The sequence below is a fragment of the Homo sapiens genome, chromosome 13 (genome assembly GCF_000001405.40).
Source record: "Homo sapiens chromosome 13, GRCh38.p14 Primary Assembly".
NCBI lineage: Eukaryota > Metazoa > Chordata > Mammalia > Primates > Hominidae > Homo > Homo sapiens.
In genome coordinates, this window is record NC_000013.11 from 84,675,102 (window position 1) to 84,685,989 (window position 10,888).

At 34.1% G+C, this 10,888-nt stretch overlaps 1 annotated feature.

Annotated features, from left to right (window-relative positions):
* Nucleotides 9,388–10,587: an enhancer, noted in NCBI's record as "BRD4-independent group 4 enhancer chr13:85258624-85259823 (GRCh37/hg19 assembly coordinates)". NCBI's record gives its function as "activates an origin of replication core promoter dependent on BRD2, P300/CBP, MED14 and CDK7 cofactors, and independent of BRD4, by STARR-seq in HCT116 cells {active_cell/tissue: HCT116}" and the evidence as "EXISTENCE:reporter gene assay evidence [ECO:0000049][PMID:35650434]".

Sequence of the window (10,888 nt, forward strand, 5' to 3'; positions counted from 1 at the left end):
TAGATATTTAATTTGAAGATTTACAGTATCATTGAAACCACGTTGACATGATTTCTTTTATTAACTTTTCATTTGGCAGACACTCACCAATGGCAAAGTTTCAAGCCTTTATCAATTTCTCAACTATCATATACAGTTACCCAACCAATGAAATACAATTTACCCTGTATGAGATTCCATGATTTTTTCATTTCTAGTTTGAAAGATGTCAAAAAAGACTTTCAACTTTAAAAGAACTCATGTTTACTTTTAAAATATTCAAATCTTTTTTTTCTTTAAACTTCGAGTGACTGCTTTCAAAAGGATGCTACATTTTAACTGACATGTAACACCATTCAAAAATGTTCTATGGTATAAGACACAATAAGGCAAATTGTTAACATCACATAAAGCTGAGAGAAAGATAGTCTTTGTCATATTTCCCTTTCTTAGTTACAGTTGGCCCAGTTTTTTGACATTAGTTTCCTTTTTCCGTGAGTCAGAATACTAACTGAAATGTCAGATTTATGTTTTTCAGCATCTATAATCACAGAGGATGAAGCTGTGAGTTGAGAAAACAGGTTGCAGTATCATCCTTACTAGGCCAACGTTCTGTCAGTAACTATAAGAAAAATATAATGTGAATAATTTTTTCTTTCATTTAGAAATATCATATTTTTATTATAAAATGATAACTATTTCAGAGGAAATTTAAGAATTGGGAAAACTTTTTAAATAATGTTTAAAAAAAGACATGCAAAACAAGAATACAAAATTTACTTAGATCTTGTTGTGTGTCCACATATTTACATTCACATTTATAATAATTACTCATGTATTTGAAGAAATTTCTACTTTCTGACTAGTTGCATTCTCTGTTGCTCTTTTTCTGATTCTATTTTACGTTTTCTATGTTGCTTTCTTTGACATGATCAAGGTATTTTGTTGTTTTATCTTCCCACTTTGTGTTAGTTTATTATTTGTTTTTATAAGCTCAAAGATTTACTCAGTTTGGGTAAAGGACACATTTGACTCCATAAAACATTCTCCCTTGAGGATTTTATTTAAAGACAAAGTTGAGTTTTGGGACAAGAGAACTAGAGTCCAGGCAAGCACTGGAAAGAAAAAAAAGGGTATGAAAGCTCTCAGCAAAGTCTTTAAGTCCCTTAACCATATAATAATTCTAGGCTTATGAAACCAGTTAGGCCAGTACCAAACCATGAATGGTGAGGCTGGTCACCAGATGATATTTCAAACTTAAATAGCGCATTCATAGATCCTGTTCTCCTCACTTTGGCTAATAGCTAAAAACTAGACATATCGGCATCCTCAGATAAAGAGAGAACCTTATTCATCCATTTGTAAATCATTGCTGTCTTTACATATGGTTTGTTTTAATGCTTTAAAAGTTAACTTAGTTACTTTATCCTTCTTATTTAATAATATCAAAGCTTATTACTTTCCTCTTGAAAATACATTTTTATTTTCATTTGAAAAATTGTATTGTAGACTTTTTTCCCCAAAATTCACTGCTATTATTGCTCTTTCATTGGGTATAATTATTAATATTTTGCTTAATATATTAACTATTTTACAGGATACTTTTTATTCTATGTTGTACAGTGAGTCATTTTAATAAATTATTTTTTACAAAATTATTTTTTATTAGAAAAAATGCTGAAAACATTTTGTTGTTTTATCTTCCCACTTTGTGGTGTCAGCTAAAAAGCTGACACCACATGGCCAGTTGCATGCACATAACTTTCATTACAAGAAGCATGAAATTTTAAAAATATTTTTAGAGAATAATGGCTAAATAAGAACTTATCTACTCTACTATGCTGTACATTATGTCATTGTTTATATTAAAATGTGGTTGCAGAAAGCCATAAATGCCGTCATTTCTCTTATTAGTATATGTTGGTGGTTTCTGATTTGTAAATATCCATTCTTTTTTGCTTGATGTCAATAAACTACCATTTAAAGATCAAAAATTACTTTTTATTCTTCCTGTTTGTTAGCTTGTTTAGGAATCTACATTTATGCTTGAAGCTTTTTACATTTCAATTAATTATATTTTCCACTTCATTGTCTTTTATATTTTCCGAATTGATATATATTAGTTTTATATAAAATATTTTGTTTCAGTTAGTTACTCGTGTATGCATCAACCTTGACTATATATACCTCAGTCAACTAGCTACTTTTTATGTCTTTATTACTGGTTACTTATTTTTTAGGTGATTGTATAACTAAAACCACTCAGAAATTTGCATTTGAAATTTTCTTTATCATAGAGAGATAGTACCTAATTCAAAGTATTATGATTTTCCAAGACCAACCTTAAAAGTATCAAAATATCAAGTAGCCACAAATTTGTGTTATAAGTGCCAAAGCATAATGCTTATCCTATCTTCCTCTACATTATTTGCAGATATCAATATACCACAAAGCATGGCATTACCTGAAGATATCTTAGTTGGTAGTTTGATGTGGGTAGTGGACAACTTCGTATACAAGCTCCCTACTTTCCCCTTTCTCAGGCTGCATTTGAGAGATAAATAGTGAATCTGTAGGGACCTATGTTGGATGGTTTAAATGGGTTCAAACATGCAGTACTTTTCTAAAATTATATGCTCAGGTAAGTTAAATGTCAACCATTGAAATGTGTACAAAATTTAAAAATCAAGATTAATTTCACACAATGAGTTGTTGCCTAAAACTCAGTGGAACAAAAATACATGTTGGATTGCTGATTTGTCTAAAGACTGAAGTGACACTAAAAATTGGAAATTGGAGAGAACATTTGATATTAGCTGTATGAAAAGTATAGACCATGGTAGGATAAGAATCTAGCCTTAGTTTCTTTTTAAAATCTGTGGACGATATGAATCACAAGGTATTTTGACTTTTCAAGCTATAGAATACACTGACTATGTATGATTAATTTAACAAATACGTATTATTTAGCTCTGAGTCAGGTCAAATTTTATAGTTAATACTGAAGTGAATGTAAATATAATCTATTTTTCTAAAAATAAACTTAAAACATTATCTCATGTCCCTGGTCTACAGAACCCAGTGACATAATTTAATCACTTGAAAAAATATTCATGAATTCACTAATTTTTTCAATCATATACTGTTGTATCCCAATGCATCCAAGGTTCTATATAGCTTTCATAAATTATCTTCCATGTGGCTTCTCAGTTCCAGGTAACAGAGTGTCTTATGTAGCATCCAGTTTTTGGTAGGTAATAGATAGTAGGAAATTATTTGCCCTATTTACCCGTAAACATTTTCAAAAACATACTTCATCTTGTATTGCTATTCAATGCAAGTTTCTACATTTGTTGCATCTGATGAGAGGTCCTTAGATTTACCAATCTTCTAGTCACCTAGTTAATTTAGATTATTTCTAGTACTCTAGTAGTGTGTATTTTTCTGATCTGCTTGCATTTTATCAGACAATTCTTTACATATAGATGGAGCTGAGGGATAATTCAAACTGAAATTTTCTCCATATTTCTTTCTTACGTGGATCCTAAGAGACTTAGTAAAGGAAGGTTCTTAGTCTTTAAGCTGAGACCTATGCGTAACAACATTTCTACACTTAAGCTGCTTTGCCATTCTCAAATGGCGGATTTGTTTATGTGTTTCAATGAGCTTAACCCCATCAAAGGCAAACACACTGGGTTGTCTTATCTAAGGTCTTGGGGCAGGTAGTGCAGTTCTTCTCTGTCCCTGTTCCCATCACTTCCTTATGGCAAACATATTAAGCTTGGCTTCCTTCAAAGCCTAATCTTTGGCTCTTTAAAGCAGCAGACTCTTGAAAATGAAAAGCCTTTCATTTCAAGGTTATTGTCCCTGCTTTCAGCGTAAGAATCTAATTTGGAACACAAAACCAATCATTCTGTTCTATTTGAATACATTTTGGACTTTACTTCATGTTCTGAAAGCAATTAATATTGTTGATCCAATTGCAGGAGATGGAAGGTGGAGGACGGAAATAAATACATTTTTGAGTGAAAACTTGGTTTATAGGCCCAAATTTTAATACAACACACCATTATTTGCACAATTCTCTCTCTCTCTCTATGTAATTAAAACATAATCACATGCAGAGAGCTTTGCAAATTTTAGGGGCAGACATCATTAAACAATTGAGAAAATGGAACATATCCAGCATGCCAAAATCTGCCTGCATGCTTAAAGTTATGCGCAACTACTATGATTTCTGATGGATTAGTCCACAGAGTAGTGTTGCTTTTATATGAATTTTAAATTTAAAAAATTTTTAAATATATATTTAGGGGATACAAGGGCAGATTTCTTACATGCAATTGCATAATAGTGAAATCTGAGCTTTTAGTGTACCCATCACCTGAATAGTGAACACTATACCCAATAGGAAACTTTTCAATCCTCATGCCTCTTCCAAGCTCCCACCTTTTGCAGTCTCCAATGTCTGTTATTGCACTCCGTATGTCTCTTTGTACTCACTGTTTAGCTCCCACTTATAAATGAGGACGATCGGTATTTGACTCTGCTTCCGCGGTGTTTCACTTAGGATAATGGCCTCCAGATCCACCGATGTTGCTGCAACAGACATAATTTCATTCATTTTTATGGCTGAGAAGTATTCCATGTTATGTGTGTATGGTATATATATATCACATTTTCTTTTTCTAATCTTCCACTGATGGATGCTTAGATTGATTCAGTATCTTTGCTATTGTGAATAGTATGGTAATAAACATACAAGTACAGGTATCTTTGTGATAGAATGATTTCCTTCCCTTTGGGTATATACCCAGTAGTGGTATTGCTGAATCTAAGGATACTTCAATGTTTAGTTGTTTGAGAAATCTCCATACTGTTTTCCATAAGGTTGTATTAATTCACATTCTCACCAACAGTGCATATGTGTTCCCATTTCTCTGAATCCTTGCCAACAACTGTTGTGTTTTGACTTTTTAGTAATAGCCATTCTGACGGGTGTAAGGTGGTATCGCTTTGTGTTTGTAATTTGCATTTTTCTGAGATTAGTGATATTGAGTATTTTTCATATGTTTCTTGGCCACTTGGCTGTTGTCCTTTTCACACTTTTTAATGGGGCTATTTTGTGGTTGTTGTTAAGTTGTTTGTGTTCCTTATAGATTGTAGATATTAGTCCTTTGTTGGATGCATAGTTTGCAGATTGTTTTTTGCCATTATGTAGGTTATCTATTTACACTCTTGTTTCTTTTGCTGTGGAGAAGCATTTTAGTTTTCTACTTCCATTTGTCTATTTTTGTTTTTACTGGCATTTGCTTTTAAAGACTTGGTCACAAATTCCTTGCATAGGCAAATATCCAGAAGAGTGTTTCCTGAAATTTTTATAGTTTCATGTTTTTTATTTAGGTTTTTAATCCATCTTGTGTTAATTTTTATATATTGAGAGAGGTGTAGCTGCAGTTTTAGTCTTCTGCATGTGTCTATCCAATTTTTCCAGCACCGTTTATTTAATTGTTCTTTCCACAGTATGCATGTTTTGTTGACTTTGTCAATGATCAGTTGGCTATTGGTATGTGGCTTTATTTCTAGGTTCTCTATTCTGTTCTGTTGATCTTTGTGTCTATCTTTATACCAGTACCATGTTGTTTTTGGCTACTATAGTCTTGTAGTATAATTTGAAGTCAGGCGATGTGAAGCCTTCAGCTTTTTTGATTTTGCTTAGGATTGCTTTGACTTTTAGGATCCTTTTTGGTTCCATATGAATTTTAGGATTTTTTTTTCTAATTCTGTGAAAAATGGCATTGGTAATTTGGTAGAAATTCCACTGAATCTGTAGTATCATGATTTTAATGATAGTGATTCTTCCCATCCATGAACATCTCGAGATGTTCTCTTATTTGCTTGTGTCATCTGCAATTCCTTTCATCTTGTTTTGTAGTTCTCCTTATAAAGATTTTTCACCTCCATGGTTAAGTATATTTCTAGTGTTTTTATTGTGTTTTTTTTTTTGTAGCATTGTTCATGGGATTTTCTTCTTGATTTGGTACTCAGCAAGATCACTATTTGTATATATACAAAAATCCTAATTTCTGTACATTAATTTTGTGTCCTAAGACTTTCCTGAATTCATTTATCAAATCTAAGATTTTTTTTTCAGTCGAGTCTTTGGAGTTTTCTAGGTATAAGATCTTATCATCAGTAAACAAGAATAACTGAATTCCTGTTTTCCAATTTTGAAGCCTTTCATTTTGTCCTCTTACCTGATTGTTCTGGCAAGGACTTCCAGTACTCTTATAGGTTGAATAAGAGTAGTAAAAGTGGGCATCCTTATCTTGTGCCTGTTCTTAGAGGGAATTTTACACAAATTAATCATATTAATTGTAGACTTTGAGGTTTTGTTTCATTTGTTCAACATTATGTTTGTAAGATTTGTAGGATTCACTTATGTTGATGACTGTAGCTCTAGTTATGCCATTTTAATTTCTGTACATTACTCTATTGAGGAAACATACCTTAATTAACAACTTTGGACCAATATTTTAGTTTTCAGGTTTGGGTCTTTTACAAATAATGTTGCTATCAATATTGTCATATATATCTTTTAGTACATATGTGGATACAATTTGATTTGGAAATTGTTTCATTTTCATTTTTTTTTTTAGAGATGTAGTCTCACTCTATCACCCAGACTGGAGTGCAGTCATGATCACAGGTCACTGCACGTCTACCTCCTGGGCTCAGGTGATCCTCCTACTCAGCCTCTTGATTAGTTAGGGCTGCATACCCATGCCACCACACCTGGCTTTCTTGTTTTCAATGTCACCAAATGATTCCAAACAATTTCCCAAAAGGGCTATATCAATTTACTCTTCATCAATATATGTGCAACTACTACATCCTTGCCAATATTTGATATTGTCAGATTTTTGTTTTGTTTTTTGATAGGGATTCTTGGAAGGAATCTTCCTCAAATAGATAAAAAGCAACTGTGAAACTCTTACAACTAACACTCTATTTAGTAGTACAGTACTGAATATTTTCCACCTAAGATCAGGGTATAATCAAGGATTTCAGTATGTCATTTCTCTTCAACATTTTATGGAAGCAATATTAGCAAGGGCAGTAAGACAAAGAAAATAAATGAAAGGCATTATGAGAAAAGAAAAACTGTCCTATTTTGCAGAAAAGGTTATAGAATTTATCAAAAAACTACCAGAATTAAGTGAGGTTAGCAATTTCACAGGAAATAAGGTCAATATCCAAAAATGCCTAGTGGTTCATGGGGCTCACCTACATTCTCTCCTGCTGTCTTTTTTTTTTTTCTTCTTAGAGATTGTATTTCACTCTGTTTTCCAGGCTGGAGTGCAGTGGTACAGTCAGGGCTCACTGCAGCCATGAGCTCCTGGCCTCAAGCAATCCTCCCACCTCAGTTTCCCAAGTAGCTAGAACTACAGGCACATGCAATGACCCTTGGGTACTTTTTCATATTTTTTAGAGATGAGCCTTCACTGTGTTGTCAAGGCAAGTGTCAAACTCCTGGCTTCAAGAAATTCATCCATCTCATGCTCCCAAAGTGTTGGGATTACAGGCATGAGCCACTGCAAACGATAGACTTTCTTTCTTAAGGAGTACTTTTACAGAGCATAGAATTTTAAATTGACACCTATTATTCATCAGATCTATGTAACTGTGGGGAGAGTGAAAATAGTTAACTCAGGCAGGAAGGTATGTTTTATCATTGACAATTTTTAGAATTTCCAGTGTATGGTGATAACAAAAAGCAGATTGGCTTTTATTCAGTTTTGTGATAGCTTTAAATTCATTACAGACAGTGAACACAGTCATTGCCTGTACTTGGGCAGAATATCCTCACCACCTTCTCTTGGCGTTCTATTACTGTGAATATATCATTCAATCACCTTCAGCTTCCAAAAGTTTTGTATAAAATTCAACTTTCATTCTCAATTATAAAATGTGATTGTTTCTTCTTTGAACGTAAACTATACCCCTTCTCCCATCTTGCTGGCTAGTTTATAAATCACTCTTTGTTTTGTTTTATAATATATGTAAATTCAGTTTTACATTTTAATTTTCCTGAGGTTTTGAGGGGATTTTGAATATGTGTAATTTATGTAGTTCATAATTTTTAAAAAAATTATCAGTAGTTATCTGTTTAAATAAGACCACAGACCCATTCTCTTTTTATTCTAATTTAAATGTAATTTAGGTGTTTTTTCAACTTTATCTTTTATTCCTTCTCACCTGTTCTTCAATTCGCCAATTTCTCATTACCTATCTAATCAGGTGTTTCATCTACTCATTGAGTTTTAAATTGTAATAATCGTACTTTTCAGTTCTAGAATTTGAATGTAGTTATTTTTCAGATCTGGCATGCAATATTTGATTATTTCCCATTCTTACTTGAGGTATTCAATCTTGTATTTTCTTTCCTCCAACACATAAATCTTAATTATTTAAAAATATGAATCTTGCAGTAACACAACTGACCTAGAGAAGCCTCTGAGAGCCTTGGGAAGAGTTTTTTTTTCTTTGCAAAGGGCAGAGAGTCCTGGAATGGGTTTGCCCTGAGAGGGGCCTGTGAAAAAGTGTATGTATGTATATATATACTTACATATAAAAATGTCTCTATATGTCCTCTTGTGTTTATTATTTGTAATATCTTGTTCTCAAGCATGTATGCACACACACACACACATACCTACATTATACATGAATGGAAACAAAAATGATTATATTAAAAAAAACTTCTAAAAAATACATTGAGAGCACTCTTATTAAGAAAAAAAGTAAATGTAGTTAACATTAACTAGAGGACCAAGAAAGCATATTGAATGGTGCAGAATTTAATATACAGCCTTTTAGAATGTGTTTAATTTTGATAAAATATTAAACAAAGGTTATGGTAGTTGAAGCAAACAGTTAAATAAAACACAGAGGGAGAGCTGTTGCATGGAGAATTGGGAGAAAGATTTTTAATTTAAAAGATTGAGAATCTGTGGAAGGGTCCAGTTTCTCTCTTAAACTTTGTTTTGTAGCATATTTCTATCTTTTTACAGAGGAACAAAGTGAAATCCTTTCTTCCCTGCTAGCAAGACAGAGCCTGACAGCGAGAGTACTCTAAGGTAGTTGTCAAGCTGCCAACTCTCAAGGTGGCCAATTAGGACAAAAGTCAAACTGAAAATAACAATCAAGTCATTATTCAAATACTGCAATAATGCAGGCAAAAGGCAAAGAAAAAGAAAAGTGCTGTCCTCTAATGTTTTATTTTTTCCAACGGAAAGATATCAGGCTAGAGTCAGTCAGGTAACATTTGATGAAGGTGGGAAAACATCTCACTAAGCAGCAGTGAACAAGAAGCTCCTGCCATCTTATGGAGACCTGTGGGGACAGGGAGAGGGAATGGGTACAAGGTAGGAGCAAACTCAGTCAAAGCAGAGAACAAGCTCCTGGTCACGATAGTTTTCTACTCCTCTTGCCATAGGAGATTCTCAAATGGGGCCCCAGATGAGACATGCAAGGGCAGAATCCTGGGCTAGGGATGAAAATATATGTATGAACATGGCCAGTAGAGGTGGGAGTAGAGTGGGACAGTGGGGAGGGGGAAAAGAGAAAGTGATATATTTGGCTGCTTATCCCTTTGAGACTGCAAGTCTGGTGTTGGGAAGACAGCTCTCTCCCACAGGGACTGACAGGTAAAGCCTTTGCCATTGCCTGTGGTCTGGCCTGAAAGATCACACAGGATTTTGGCCCCTAGCTAAGCCCGTATATATTGTAGGGGTTGCATGGCCACCCACATTCTCAGTGATTTGGTAGAAAGGCATTCTCGATGCAGAGAGAGTTGTGGTCATGGGTATGGCTTATAACAGTAAAATGATACACAGTAGGGTCATCAAAGGAAAAGGCACATCAGATGGAGTCTGGAGAAATCCAGGTGCAGACTTCCAAAACTCACCCTTTCGGAATGAGGGAGTGGACTCACGCAAAATGCTTTCCATTTCCCAGCAGTGAAACGCAACAACATGTTCCCAGTGCTTCTGCCGAGGGGGACTCACTTGAAACTCAAGTCAAGGTGGTTTTCTGTTTGTTTGTTTTGGAGGAACTGGTTACATAGGGATTCTTTGTCTGCACATACATGAATGGTTATCAAAATTCCAGAGCCCCAGAATAAAAGCAGATTGTTGTGTGTTAAATTGTGTCCTACAAAAAGACCTCTTACATTCCTAATTTCAGGTATCTCAGATTGTGAACTTATATAGGAATAGGGTCGTTGCAGACATAAATTCAGTTAAGTTCAGGTGAAATTAAGTTCAGATGAAGTTGTATTGTAGTGAAGTGGGTCCTTAGTCTAATATGATTTGTGTCCTAATAAGAAGAAAGATATTTGGACACAGATGGAGAGGCAAGATGACTATGTGAACAGAGGTAGATTTTGGAGTTAAACTGCCAGGAACCTAGGAACACCTGGGACCACCAGAAGCCAGATGAGACACAGAGGGATCCTCCCTTATAGGGAGGTGGTGGGTAATTGCCAATTCGATTTCACACTTCTATCCTCAGGAACTGTAAGAGAATACATTTTTATTGGTTTAAGCAGCATGTGTGCTATGATAGCCCCAGGACATGAATAGATTTTGGTGATGGGATTGGGGTATTGCTGCAAGAAATTTTTAAATAATGTGACAATGGCTCTGGAATTGGGTAATGGGTAAAGGCTGAAAGAGTTTTGAGGCTCTTGATTTAAAAAAAATATGCATAGACTCACTTGAAGAGATTGTTGGTAGAAATAATGCTTATTAAAGAACATTCTAGTGATAAATCAGAGATAAGTTAGGAGAACTACATAGAAATTTCCTATCATGTTAGAAAATAGTACCATAAGTAGGAACAGTAA